Source organism: Homo sapiens, chromosome 14 (genome assembly GCF_000001405.40).
Source record: "Homo sapiens chromosome 14, GRCh38.p14 Primary Assembly".
Lineage (NCBI taxonomy): Eukaryota > Metazoa > Chordata > Mammalia > Primates > Hominidae > Homo > Homo sapiens.
The window spans coordinates 67,133,342-67,148,363 of NC_000014.9; the positions used below are offsets into that span (position 1 = coordinate 67,133,342).

Sequence of the window (15,022 nt, forward strand, 5' to 3'; positions counted from 1 at the left end):
AGCAGCTGTTGTCCATCTGTGTGTTTATATTAAATATTTTAAAATAGAAATGTATTTGCATTCTGAATACTGTTTCTGAAATTCATAAATCCTAAACTTGGGTAAATGCTGTAAAATTCAAAACCAAGACAGAGCCTTTACCATTTATCTTCATGATAAAGCAAAAATAATTTTATGCCAGAATCAGGATTATAGTAATTTGAGGCAGATGTAAATTTTAAAAAGCAAAAAAAGTCTTAACTTTTTTAAGTTGCTTTGGAATTGAGCCCCCAAAGCAATCAAATTGAAATCTGAAAAGATACAGTGTTCAAAAGATGTCATACCCTCTGAATATATTCTTTCTTCACAGAAACTGATGAGTACATACACTTTTGAGAAAGCTGCATTCATTCTCTGACAGATTTATTTTGAAACATGCTCCTCCTTTCTCTTTTTCTACCTTTCTATTAAGTGCGTGGTTCTTTGACATGTGATCAACTTAGAACTCTACAGAGAGTGCTATTAATATTGGTAGCCATCTTCCAAGTTGAAGATGAATGTCATGGCTTTAGGAAGAAAAGATACCGTTATTCATTTCACTCAAGTCAAATAGGCAAATGTTTCTTATGTTCAAAAATGAAAGGGAGAAGAGTATTATCTACAAGACAAGTATCAAATTGCATCAGTCAGGTCAGATTGGTGTTTCCCTCTATGCTTCAGTTTATATGTGAAAAGAAAATAGTCATTGTGTTTATGTAACTTTCAGTATTTCCATAGAATCACAGTATCTTATTCTGATGTTAGCTAGTCCAGACTTTCACCCAAGGGGGTGTTAAGGAAAATCTGCAACAACTTAGCTGTTAGGTTTTTGTTTGAATTCTTTTAGTGAGAAAGATCTCTACTGCCTCATGAGGTAGCACATTCTATTGTTCGATGGCTGTTAAAGTAAGTATGTTTTTCCATTACACAGAGCCAGTCTTTCTTCCTGTGTCTTTCATCTGTTAGCCCTAATTCTGCCCTCCAAGCAATGCCAAATAAGTTGGCTTCCTCTTTTACATGATATTTGAATATACAGTTGTTTCACCTTAATCCCTTCTCAAAGTACTGTTTATGATTATATGTTTAGCAGTATCTTTTCTTTCATCCCAGACAATATTATTAGCCTATGATATTATAATTGAGTAACTAAACTATTTACTCCCAAAGCTACTGTGGATAGACTGACTTGAAATCAAGTTTCATTCAGCCCATTTACTGAGTGCCTACAATGTGCAGGAATTTGGTGGGACAATCAGGAAGTCTGGATGAAATGAGACGCTGTCTTGTGAGAGAGTTGTATACTGCTGCATCACCTTTACAAAGTTTCCTTTTATCACAATTTGTTGTGTCTCTTTATTCTTTTTTTTAACATCAAATCCCGTTTTGACATTAATATTACTACTCCTGCTTTTTTGCTTATTTACATTTGCCTGGTGACTTTTTGCCCTACTTGTTATTTTCTTTCTTTCTTTCTTTTTCCTTCTTTCTTTCTCTTTCTCTTTCTTTTTTAATTTTTCTTTTCTTTCTTTTTTCTTCTTTATCTTTCCTTTCTCTCTCTTTCTTTCTCTCTTTTTTTCTCTTTCTTTCTTTCTTCTTTTTTTTTTTTTTTTTTTTTTTTTTGACAGAGTCTTACTCTGTCACCCAGGCTGGAGTGCAATGGCACAATCTCAGCTTACTGCAACCTCCATCTCCCAGGTTCAAGTGATCCTCCTGCCTCAGTGTCCTGAGTAACGGGCATTACGGGCACCTGCCACCACACCCAACTAATTTTTATATTTTTAGTAGAGACAGGGTTTCACCATGTTGGCCAGGCTGGTCTCGAACTCCTGACCTCAAGTGATCCACCTGCCTTGGCCTCCCAAAGTGCTGGGATTATAGGTGTGAGACACCATGCCCAGCCTAGATTTAGCTATATTTTTTATAAAGGACTGTGTGTGTGTGTTTCACTACTGTTTTCTCTCCTCCAACTTCCCCTACCTTGAAGTCTATGTTCTGAATCATTTTTTCATTTACAGTCATTTTTCCAGAACATTACTTGGTGATTTGTCATCTGAATCTTTGCATTCTAACAAGTATCATTCTTCCATTTTGATTAGTGAATGACTGGATGTAAGATTTGAGGGTTGTATGGCTTGAAGAGATATGTTGATGTTAATTTACTATTTTCTAGTTTTTGGTATTGTAGGTAAGAAGTCCAAAGCCAATATTACTTTTTCCTTTGTTAGTAACCCAATCTTCCTATTAAATATTTGGTAGCTTGTAAGATTTTCTGTTTATTTTTGAAATTCCAAAATTGTACCAGGACATATTTAGGTTTATGTTTTTGTTTTGCTTTTTTTTTTAAATCAATCTTGGCTGGAACTTAGTAAACCTTTTCAATTTCCAAGTCCAACTCTTCTCAAATAAATAAAATTTTCCTCTTTTCCCCCCTATCTCTTCCTTTATTTCCTTATGGAATTCCTATTGGTAGTATGTCAGTCTCTTGCTCTGTCTTCTTATTATTTTCTGCATGACTTCTATCTTTTGCACTTTTGCACAATCCTTGGAGATATTTCTACCACTTGATCTTCCAAGCAACTAATTGAATTTTTGACAAGGACTGTAATTACCTTCATCTACTAAATCTTAAAATTTGAAAATCACATATTTTGTTCCAGAACACAGTGTTAATGTCATAATTGAATCTGTATTAGTGTTTTAATTGCTTATTATTGTTATTAAAATTATCTATTGCCCCAGAAGTTTTATTTCTCTAGGTATCCTAAATATTATGCTCATTCTTCCACTCTCCAGTTGGTTGTTACTTAGGTTGCTGGTATTTTCCTCTCCCTACTGAAAGTTCGATTCACCCTAAGGGTTCTGGAAGCTGCTAGGGTACTTTGGGCCTGGTGAGAATGGAGTTACAGTGGGAAAGAGGATCATGAGTGGCAAAAGGAAGAGAAGTGTCAATTCCTGAATTAGCAAAGCACAAAATGGCAAGCTGCTAGTCTTCTATTAAAGTACAAAAAATAAACAGTCCAAGCCTCTGTGCTTCCTGGACGGTTTTGTTGTGAAGGCTGGACTTTCCCAGCCTTTAAAGGATAGGGCAGTCTTAGTATTTTTTCAAGTAGACTTCAGACTTCTGGGTCAACCTAAAAAAATTTATAGCTTTGCCCTTGATCTGGATCCCAACCAACCACAAATTCTTAGAATCAGTGAATGTTAGAGATGAAAAAGACATACTCCAAATGTCCTCATTTTATAGATAAAGAGAATAATACCCCCTTCCCCAAAAAAATGATACTAGTTTTTCAGGATCATCTAGGTAGTTAGCAGTAGAGATAAAACAGGATTCTAGACTTTGTGACACTCAGGTCTTCAATTAATGGCTTTATCTTCTGTTGCCTAGTACATACATTCTTAGCATTAAAGCAATTGTCTTACAGAATGTTTTCATGTAATATTGGTACTCTAAGAGAACAATGGTTAGGTATTTAATTATTCAAATGAAAATGAATGGGAAGTGTTAGTAAATCAAGATTCATGTTAGTATTAGAATTATTTTTGGCTAGGCGCAGTGGCTCATGCCTATAATCCCAGCGCTTTGGGAGGCCAGGAGTTCAAGACCAGCCTGGCCAACATGGCAAAACTCTACTAAAAATACAAAAAATTGCCAAGCATGGTGGCACACACTTGTAATCCCAGCTACTTGGGTGGCTAAGGCACGGGAATCACTTAAAGCCAGGAGGCAGAGGTTGCAGTGAGTAGAGGTAGCGCCATGCACTCCAGCCTGGGTGACAGAGCAAGAATCTGTCTTTTTTTTTTGAGAAGGATTCTTGCACTGTCACCCAGGCTGGAGTGCAGTGGCACGATCTCTGCTCACTGCAGGCTCCACCTCCCAGGTTCATGCCATTCTCCTGCCTCAGCCTCCCGAGTAGCTGGGACTACAGGTGCCCGCCACCACGCCCGGCTAATTTTTTGTATTTTTAGTAGAGACAGGGTTTCACCATGTTAACCAGAATGGTCCCGATCTCCTGACCTCGTGATCCACCTGCCTTGGCCTCCCAAAGTGCTAGGATTACAGGCATGAGCCACCACGCCTGGCTGACTCTGTCTTAAAAAAGAAAAAAAGAATTATTTTTCGGCCAGGTGCAGTGGCTCATGCCTGTAATCCCAGCACTTTTGGAGGCTGAGGCGGGCAGATCTCTTGAGCCCAGGAGTTCAAGACTAGCCTGGGCAACATGGTGAAACCCTGTCTACAAAAAACACAAAAAATATTATCCAGGTGTGGTGGCGCACTCTTGTGGTCCCAGCTACTCAGGAGGCTGAGGTGGGAGGATCGCTTTAGCCTGGTATGTGGAGGCTGCAGTGAGCTGTGATCACACCACTGCACTCCAGCCTGGGTGATAGAGTGAGACCCTGTCTCAAAAAAAGAAAAAAAGAGATTTATCTTTAAAGGAATGGCTAAGCACCATCCAAATTAAATTAAAACTGCAGTTGTTAATGAAGAAAGATTTAAGTGATATCATGATATCCCTTTAAGATATGCCACTCTTTGTGAAAAGGGAAACTACTGATATATACCTAGAAAACTTAATCTGCTTAATCCAATAGCCCCTCTAGTGGCAGTGGTGAGAATAAGTCAAATTTTAGAAGTACAAATTTTGTTTCTATCAGTATTTGGTATATACAAATAAGATTTATATATTTATATAAATGCTGATAAATAGCTTTTATCTGAAGGTGTTTTATGTGTAACAAAGTGTCTTTCATAATGCAAATATTACTATATTTAGAAGAAGAATAGAGAAAACACAGGATGAGTTTGAACCTAATACTACCTATGTGAACCTCAGTGTCCTCTTTTGTACTGCCTTCCTCACAGAGTTGTGAGATTAACACATAGGTGTGAAAATGTATTTTTTAAAAACATTAGTATTGTCATTAATTATATTTCTTGGATATTAATTGATCTTATATGTGGGAAGTTCTGTCTTAAATATAAGGTCAGATTATAATGTTTTGTAGTTTTAGCCTCCTATCATTGAGAAAATTAATATACCCTGCTTGCTTTATGTGAGAAAACTGAGAAAATCATGAACTGTTTTCTCTCTATTATATTATTCATGATTATAACCCTTGTTACCTATTTCCTCTTATCACTATTCAGAGTAATCTTTGAGTTTTAGAAAGAAAACTCAGTTTTTATATGTTAAAAATGAAGAGTCTGGGGGAAGGAATATGAAGTAAATATTGGAAAATATTAGCATTTGTCAAATCTGAGCGATGGATACATGGGTGTTTGTTATACTGTTATGTTGGAAATGTTTTATAATTTAAAATATAGCATGAATCATAAAAAAGAAAGCAAATTTATGATGTGAATAGGCCCTTAAGCTATGGTTAACCAAAATCATAGTTTTCATCTGAACATGGGATTCTGAATCATGTTCATTTCATTCCACAGAGTGATAGTAAAATGTTCACACATGCAGTTTTCTGCTGGTTACCTCAGACAAATCCATACCTCTTGCCACAGCATCCTCTCCTTTTTTTTTTTTTTTTTTTTTTTTTTTTTAAATTATTAAGAGACTAGGTCTAGGGCCAGGCACGGTGGCTCATGCCTGTAATCCCAGCACTTTGGGAGGCCAAGGTGGGCGGATCACTTGAGGTCAGGAGTTCAAGACTAGCCTGGCAAACATGGTGAAACCCATCTCTACTAAAAATACAAAACATTAGCCAGCCATGGTGGCGGACATTTGTAATCCCAGATGCTTGAGAGGCTGAGACAGGAGAGTTGCTTGAACCCAGGAGGCGGAGGTTGCAGTGAGCCGAGATCGCGCCACTACACTCCAGCCTGGTCAACAAAGCAATACTCCATCTCAAAAAAAAAAAGAGAGAGAGAGACTAGGTCTCACTACATCACCCAGGCTAGAATGCAGTGGCTATTCACAGATGTGATAATAGCTCGCTGCAGTCTTGAACTCCGGGGCTCAAGCAATCCTCTCACATCAGCCTCTCAGGTAGCTGAGACTACAGGTGTGCCACCGCACTTGGCCAGCATCCTCTCTTTCTGATGATTCTGGACAAGGGTCCGTTCTCATTAGACTCTTTCTTTTATGGTATATTACATGCCTTTAAAAAACTACACAATCACTTCTGATTAGGCAGGGAGTGGAACAAGCATTTAATAAGAAGCCAGAGTTTGTAGTCCTGGCTCTGCCATTTACTGCTCTATCTACACTTTGCCTCTCTGAATATAACTTGCCTTTTCTTAAAATGAGCATAGTAATACCTTTTCAGTCTAGCATACAGATTTGTTGAGAGATTATAGCATGCAACATAAATGAAGTTATAGATCCCCTGGCTGTTGTCATATGTTGGTACCTGTCTCTCTAGTAAGGCAGGATGTCTGATCAAATCTCCAGAAGCCAGAAGCGTACAACAGAAAGGAGAGTTACAGAGAGTAGCAAAGGGGGATAGAGTATGGCAGGACCCAAATAACTGGCCCAGCAGTGACAATGGACAAGATAACATTTACAACTTTGAGATTCAATGATTTTGTGAATATACTACCCACAGAGTACAAAGTATCATTGAGCATATTCTTTGAAACATGATAAATTTCAGTAAGGATTTGGAACAAAATCCCTTTCAGCTGATTTCTGCAAATTAGAAAATTTCATGTAGAGAATTGATGTCTCTGAGGTTTCACAAAATAGGAAAAAAACATGTTTCCCAGATAACATGAAAATAATGAGTAAGGCTGGCACGGCGGCTCACACCTGTAATCCCAACACTTTGGGAGGCCAAGGCGAGCAGATCACCTGAGGTCAGGAGTTCAAGGCCAGCCTGGCCAACATGGTGAAACCCTGTCTCTACTAAAAATACAAAAATTAGCCTGGCATGTTGGCAGGCACCTGTAATCCCAGCTCCTTGGGAGACTGAGGCAGGAGAATCGCATGAACCCAGGAGGCAGAGGTTGCAGTGAGCCGAGATTGTGCCATTGTACTCCAGTCTGGGCAACAAGAGCAAGACTCCATCTAAAAAAAAAAAAAAAAAGTACGATAAAGCACTGAAAAGTACTTATTTATAGTAATCAGCTAGGCTCCAGAACCTTTATCCCCCTACAGAGATGAATACCATGATGGTGTGCATCTCACTGCTGCTTTGTTTACAGTAGCTTTACAATAATTCTATAGAATCAACATATTGTAGTTATATATTACAAGGTTTGTAAAATTAGCTAATATCTTTTTCTACTAACATAAAATTATATTTGTTGATAGTATTCATTACCCAGTCAGTATTTTGAACCACATTCCATGTGATGCTGTGTTTGGGATGTTTTTTCCATTTACTCCATAGTAAATGAGGAACCATTGGCTTAGCATAATGATAATATGATCCAGCAAGGCAAGGAGCCCAGAACTCTGGGCATCAGGAACCCATCACATGCATATTGTGTAGTATTTCAATACAACAGAATAATTTGCTGTCTTTTTTCCTAAATCGAAATGAAAAGGATAGATGAGAAATCTGTTCAAAATACATAGGTCAAAAATACGTTAAGTACAACATTATTCAAAATAATTCTGAGATGTTTGCCCAACTAGTTTAACTTTGAAATTTATGTCAGGGTTTTTTTTTTTAAGTCTTTAATGTTTTACACATAGATTCTACCTTCAGTTAATACCTGGGCACTTTTTTGGCTGCCTATGCAATGACTGACTGAATGACTTTAAAGGGTCTCTATGTTGGTAGGCTGAACCTTATATGAGCCATTTTTCAAACTTTTACTTTTGGCCCTTCTCCTTGGGAGCTTGCTTCCCAGAGTCAGAGCTTGTGGACAGGCCAGTGCTAGAGGAAAGGGAGAATTTTACCCAGACCCTGTAAGAGAACCTCATAGTAAATGAAGCTATTCAGGTTGGAACCAGGCCTACCTTGCCATTTGGACCTTTCATATTTAGCTCTGTGAATGTATTTAAGTCCCAGTCTATGATTTTCTTGTGTGTTACTCATGAGTATTTTCCAGAATAAAAATCCCAAGCATGCTATAGTCGAACTTTGCCAGTTTGTTGGGTATGTTTGTGTGATTAACTTGTTAACATAGCAGCAATAGTAATGACATATGACTTTCTTGAAAACCTAGTTTGTTCCAGGTACTATTCCAAGTGTTTTATATGTATTAATAGGATGTCATTTAATCCTCATAACAACCCTATTATGGCTACTTTACAGATGAAAAACTAAGGCAAAGAGAAGTTAAGCAACTTGTGCATGGTTAAACATCTAGCAAGCAGTGGTGCTAGGATTTCCACTCAGGCAGTCTGACTCCAGAGTTCACATTCTTAATCTCTGTGCTATGCCACCTCCTGACTAGCTTATCTCTTATAGAGTCTGTGAAGGTTGTGTCTCTGGTAGGTCTCAAGTTCTGCCTACCTCTGTCACACCTGGATAAAAATTGAAATTATATCCTAGTTACAAATCATGCTATCTTGAGTCACTAACTTTCCTTCTTCCTCTCTCATCAAATAGTGCATTAAGGTAAGGGGGCATGAATAAACTTCACTGCCATGAGATATTTGTGAGAACATATGCTGTCTCGTTGAGAGATCATTTGTTTTCAAGTTAACAAAAACCTGCTGAAGCTAGTGCAAGCAAAGAAGACATTTATGGAAGGATACAAGGTTATCTCATAGAACCCAAGAGCAAGAATACAGCTGGGCCTCAAGGGGGATGAAAGGCAGGTAGCCAGGGTTACTCCCTTTTTAGTTGTTCTCATTAGATGTCCATAGGGAAGAAAGGGAAAGGAAGAGTCAGGCGGTATAAATAGGTAAGAATTTTTCAGACAACAAGAGTATGGCTAGATATATACTCCTCAAAAAGTATATTTTCTGTACTGCATCAATTGAAGGGAAATACCAATTACAGGTCGCATTGCCCAGTAGATTTGTATGGATTTAAAGTAATAACTAAACAATCCCTTTCAACTATTCCCAATCATCCTGTCCCTTCATAAGTCTTGATTCTTGGCATTTTGTTTATTCTCACTTGATCAGTCTCAAGTTAGGACTTTTCAACTGTTCTGACACCCAAAGATAAGACCCCTGTTTTCATCTCTTCTCCCCAGACCTTCAACCTGTACCATCAAAGAGCCTGTTGCACTTGCCTTTTCAAGTGACAGTCAGGAACCTGCCTAGCTTCCATTCCTAATATTAATATCCTATATGAGTAGTTCATACCATCTCTGCTTTCCTTGTCCTTTTCCCCCTACCTTTTCTCTTCCCAACATTATGAATACCTACTGGCTTTTCCTATTTCTAGGGATCCTCCCCCCTCCATTTCCTATTAGATAAACTCCAAATTCATCAGCTTGAGGGTTCTTCAAAATCATGTCCCATCCTAACTGTCCCAGTCATTCCCACTCAAGTCCTTCACTCTAAGCAGGCCATTTTCCACAGTGACCTAGAAACAGCACAGGCTTAACCATTATTCCAAGCCTTTGCTAGTACAGATCCTCTTGATTACAAAGCTCTTTCCCATTCCTTTCCTTTCCACCTCTCTGAATCCAGCTCATTTCTCAGGGCCTCACCTAAGACATTCTCTCTAAAGAGTCCTATGTGATCTTTCCAACACCTCAGGTAACCAATTGTCCAGGATTGCCTTGGATTCCTAGGACATCTGACTTTAGTACTAAAACAGGAATATTCCTAGGCAAACCAGGATAGTTAGACATCCTCCAACATCTCATTGTCTCCTTTCATTATAGTGGCTTGTTAGAATAAAAAGCCCTGTGAAATCGCCAGTAGCCACTACTTCAGCATGTACAAGGTCCTTTCTCCATAATAAGACTTAATGCTCCTGTTAGGCAGAGACCCTTTTGATTCCCACTTCATACAGAATATAGTGCTGTACTCATGTTAATGCCTATTAGTGAATAAGGCGATGTAGTTTTAAGTTGGCACTATATCTAAAATCTTTTCCTTGTGTGTTAATTTCTTTGTCTTTATTTTTTTCCAGCCCAGATGACTTACTCAATGCCTTGAATGAGGGTATCAGTCGTGCTGATGTCATCATCACATCAGGGGGTGTATCCATGGGGGAAAAGGTATGAAAGATAGGGCTCGTGAAAATGTATCTGCTGTAATGTTCTTGCATATGGTCGATTAACTGTGGTCTGGTAGGCATCTGATATTCATAACGAGGCTCCCACAAAGCTGAAAATCCATGGGGCTTCAGAAATTACTGGTCTCTTTAAAAGGGATACAATGTGGGTAGGTCAGGGAGCTTACCCTCAGGAGCAACCTGGAGAATCCCACAACTTACAGAATGGTTTTTGCTATTCCTGTGGAAACTTCTGACCTGTTTCTCACTCTATTTTACTACATTAGGACATCCTTTATGCATGATATTTACCACCAGGGTAAAACTCTAAGATCCTTCCTTCTACTCAAATTTAAACATGACTCCCCAGGAGCCAACCAATTCACCCACCATATATTCCAAATCTACCAAGAATGCTTAGCTCCCCTTCCCCACAAGGAAGAAAGGGAGGATTAGGCATTCCTTTTGCTCCTCCTTACAAAATAATATAATAATAATAATGAAAATATGGCCAGGCACAGTGGCTCAAGCCTGTAATTCCAATACTTTGGGAGGCTGAGGTGGGTAGGTTGCTTGAGCCCAGGAGTTCAAGACCACCTGGGCGACGTGGTGAAACCCCATCTCTACAAAAAAAATCCAAAAATTAGCTGGGCATGGTGGCACGCGCCTGCAGTTCCAGCTACTTGGGTGCTGAAGTGGGAGGATCGCTTGAGCCTGGGTGGTCAAGGCTGCAGTGAGCTGAGATCACACCACTGCACTCCAACCTGGGCAACACAGCAAGACCCTGTCTTAAAAAAAAAAAAAAATATATATATATATATATATATATATATATATATATACACACACACATACACAAATATTTTATAGGACTAAGTGTATTTGTAGATGGTATATACTTGTTCCTATAAAGACCACAATTTGAATATTTCAGTAACACTAAGTTTACATTTCTTAATGAAATGTGTTAGTTTACGATGACTATTGGGTCTACTGAATAATGTTATAAAAGTAAAATATTGTTTACTAAATAACCAAGCTTAATTTTTGGCTCAAAGATATTTCAGTGTAAAATGTTTTGCCAGCTGATAATCCTTTTCCATGTTTTCTCTCACATTAATGACTAAACTGAAAAATTACAAAAATACTGTCATAGCAATTTTTACCAAAATTCATATTTTCTAAGAGTTTGATTTATTTTAAACTAGATCTTACGTATATGATTGTTCTTGATCTCTGTCCTCTTGTAGCTATAAAACTGCCTAAATTTATAACCTGACTCTTTGGACAGTGAACTCTGTTGGCTCGGAGAACAAATGTCAGAACTTAGCAACCTGAACAGAAGAATGCCTGCCTTCCATTCACAAACTTTAGTGTCAGAGCCTTTCAGAATAGCACTGCAGATGCTAAAAAGTTTGGAAGAAAAAAATCTCACATTACATCCAGGAGTGAAAGTGTTGTAGTGTGTGTAGGTGTTCTTAAAGCAGACAAATTGCTGGATTAGTGTTCCCTCAAAGTCTCCCAGAGTCTTTAGCCCCAGGTAGAGCAAATTGCCGCAGAGCTCTCCTGAGATCACAAAGGCTAGGGGCTGAGATCTGCACTGTAGTACAGCTGAAAGAAATAATTTGCAACTTGTCTGTTTTCATTACCATCAAACTGCCTGTGGTACTCTCAATATTACAAGAGCAAACCATGAAGTCAGGTCTATTTAAATGTTAAATTTGTTATTTCCAGGGTTTGTGTCTTGTTATAATTTCTCTTAGTTTCTGATTAACCTAATTGTGGGATAATAGCTATTTGGCAGAACTAAAACGTTTATCTTTTCTAGTACTCTGGAGAGGTAACAAACTCATAGCATACATAGGCTTGGCAATTGTGGCTCAATTGTGGTAAGGACAGAACACTTCTCAACCTAACCTTCTTTATTAGTGCTAACAAAGATGTCAGTTATGCCAGGGATTTGCTCACCAGTAAACAAAGCCAATATAGTTAAGCATATTGGTTTTATTTTTTTTACTCTCTGTATAATAAGATACTTACACTAAACCTTTAATTTACTAGGAAAGAAATTTTAGAAACTGGGCATCCCACGGTATTCCTTAGGAGCTGCTAATTGTCCCTTCCTACCTCCTTGAGTGGGAATGAGATGATAGAGGAACCAGGAAGAAAGAGATAAAACATACATGCAGCAAATTCCTGCCAGCAAACAAGTTTTAATTCCAAAAAGAATTTAGGGTACCTCCATAGTAGAAAGAAAATAATAAAAGACAGAACATTTGCTTCAGCCCAGGAGCTAAGCCTGAAAACCAGTTACTAAAAAGACAGGGAAATCAAGGAAAAATTCAGAAGTATTATGTAGCAGGCATGAATATTAAGTGCAGAACCTCAGGTATGCAAGAAATGTATTTAATTCCATTTAAATTATACTCTAAGTGCCTATGCTACAGGACTGGTGGGAAATTTTATTAAGCCACAACTGGAGCTTACTATCTCCAAGAATTATGACAAGGAACCTGAAGGTACTTAAGCAGCACCAAAGCATCAGGGAGACACAGCTGGTCACTGGTCTGCACTGGATACATCTAGAGTATTCTTATAGTACCATTAGATCTCAAGTCTTTGCTCCTTTGGGCCATGCTAGGAGCACTAAGATCAGGTAGAGGCTGGAAACCTCAGAGCAGCTAGCCTCTTTGGGTGTATTTCACAGCCATCCCTTCTAAAGTCTGACCACTTCTCCAACATACTGCATGCTAAACAGCGAGGAAGGGGCCCTGCTGCTTGTTGGACTCATAGACCAGTACCTTCTTCCCAGCCAAGGAGAAATGATTCTTCCACAGTTACTTCCCTAAAGATCTCTCCCCTCCTTCACCTCACCCTGCCCTACATACTCTTTTCAAAGAGTTTCATTTTTACAAAACACTGAAAGCTTGTTAAATAGTTAAACAGTATCTGCCTTTTGCCATGAAAACTAAAGAATCATATGCATTACTATAAGTTTTCTTCGACCTACAAAATTATTAAATAACTCAAAGACAATGAAAGGTGGCAATAATCCAGAAGGATGCACTAAACTGGACACCAGTGACCTTTTTTGCTCATTTCTAAGTCTCTTAAGTTTTGCTAATAGTGTCTCCACCACCCCTTATGATCAAAGTAATCACATAGATGATAACCGATCACAAAAAAGGCTGGTTTCATGAGGTTTGCCCAGTTATTTAGCAATAAGAGTGTTAATTAACCATGTAAGCTCCTTGATTTGTTTTGTAAGTCTAGAGCCATGTAGCCTTAGAATATTTAAAAGTAATTGGCTGGGCACGTTGGCTCATGCCTATAATCCCAGCACTTTGGGAGCCCAAGGTGGGCAGATTGCTTGAGGCCAGGAGTTCAAGACCAGCCTGGCCAACATGGCAAAACCCCACCTCTACTAAAAATAAAAAATTAGCTGGGCATAGTGACACATGCCTATAATCCCAGCTTCTTGGGAGGCTGAGGCACAAGAGCTGCTTGAACCTGGGAGGTGGAGGTTGCAGTGAGCCAAGATGGCGCCACTGCACTCCTGCATGGGTGACAGAGGAAGACTCTGTCTCAAAAAAACAAAACAAAACAAAAAAAACTAATCAATATTCCAAACATACACATAAAAAAATTTTCTTTAATATTTCATTTATCCTACATCATTCTTGTTCTGCTAAATGTTGAGTTAGCAGTCTGCTTTCCTGAAGCCATCAGCTTTGATACTACATAAAAGTTAGCTAAGCTATATCACCTCAGAAGCCTGTACTCAAGAGGTTATTGTTTGATATCTCAATAGCAATGTTAAAGTGCCTATTACTCTCCTTTTCCCTAATGCTCTAAATCTGTCTCTGTTTCGGGCATAAACTATTGACTATAGCTTGTAGCAAAGCCTTCAGGCAAGCACCAGAGTAAAACAGAAATTCTCTGTGGATGACAAATACTTGAGAGCTGTGCTTAATTTGCTTCCATAACCAATAATATCAGAATAGAAGATAAGTGACATTCTCTTTTGAGATACATATGTAAGTATTTCACAGTAGGGTTTTTTGTTTTGTTTTGTTTTGTTTTGAGGTTTTTGTTGTATTTTGTTTTTTGAGACAAAGTCTCACTCTGTCACCCAGGGTAGAGTGCAGTACTGCCGTCATAGTTGACTGCAGCCTTGAATTCCTGGGCTCAAGCAATCCTCTTGCATCAGCCTCCCAAAGTGCTGGGATTATAGGCGTGAACCACCATGCCAGCCTAGAAGTTTTAATCAGCGTTTCCTCTGAGGGTAAAACAGCAAAGGCATTGTCAAATTTCCAGGAACTTCCCGTAAAGCAAACAATTTCTGAAATATTTCTATTAATAACAGTTTACCTATAAGAACCTAACCTAGGGCAGACTGAGTATCTCTTCTCAGATATGGCAGCTCCTCTCATGAAACTTTAAACAAATCTAATTATTCCCAGCATTTCTTTTTATAGATGAAAACAAACCTGGGATTTTCTAGAGGCCCTCTAGGAAATTTTAAAGATGAGTTTTGGTAAGAAAAGCACATTTTTTCCTAAATTTTGGTCTGATCTTTAAAAGGCAAAAATCAAAAAAGTTATTAAAAAAGAATGGGGCACTTGATGAAGACCTGAGAAACTACTTGGTTACCTAATTTTTCAAAACAATAAAATATTTGAAAATGAACATAGAAGGTAACATGACTGTAAATAACCTTGGCTCAATTCATAAATAAGGAACCTTTGTTCTTCGCTTTTTTATTTCTTTAAATAAAGATAAACAGCACAAAAAGGCAAATTACACAAAAAGAATAACCTTTCTTATTGTAGGACAGGCGTTAATCAGTACCAAAGAAAGAAGCACATCAAAACTCAGCAAACTCACTAAAATTTTAATATGTTTCTCAGCTTCACTT

General features: G+C 38.2%; 1 protein-coding gene and 1 long non-coding RNA gene across 26 annotated transcripts in view; one reads left to right on the forward strand and one right to left on the reverse strand.

Annotated features, from left to right (window-relative positions):
• The window catches only part of GPHN (gephyrin), a 1,227,209-nt gene that overhangs the window by 625,195 nt on the left and 586,992 nt on the right, over positions 1 to 15,022 (forward strand). For 22 of the 23 annotated variants that reach the window (XM_011536340.4, XM_017020913.3, XM_011536343.4 and 19 more), the window contains one exon: positions 10,021 to 10,108. The exons of the other annotated variant lie outside the window; for it this stretch is intronic. In XM_011536340.4, the coding sequence (XP_011534642.1) occupies positions 10,021 to 10,108 (88 nt within the window). The remainder of the gene's footprint in view (positions 1 to 10,020; positions 10,109 to 15,022) is intronic. 23 annotated transcript variants of the gene reach the window in all.
• LOC105370538 (uncharacterized) overlaps positions 1 to 15,022 on the reverse strand; it is a 116,677-nt gene that overhangs the window by 60,654 nt on the left and 41,001 nt on the right. The window contains exon 3 of one of the 3 annotated variants that reach the window (XR_007064216.1): positions 7,296 to 7,504. The exons of the other annotated variants lie outside the window; for them this stretch is intronic. This is a non-coding gene — a long non-coding RNA (uncharacterized LOC105370538). Of the gene's footprint in view, positions 1 to 7,295; positions 7,505 to 15,022 lie in introns of those variants that run through there. 3 annotated transcript variants of the gene reach the window in all.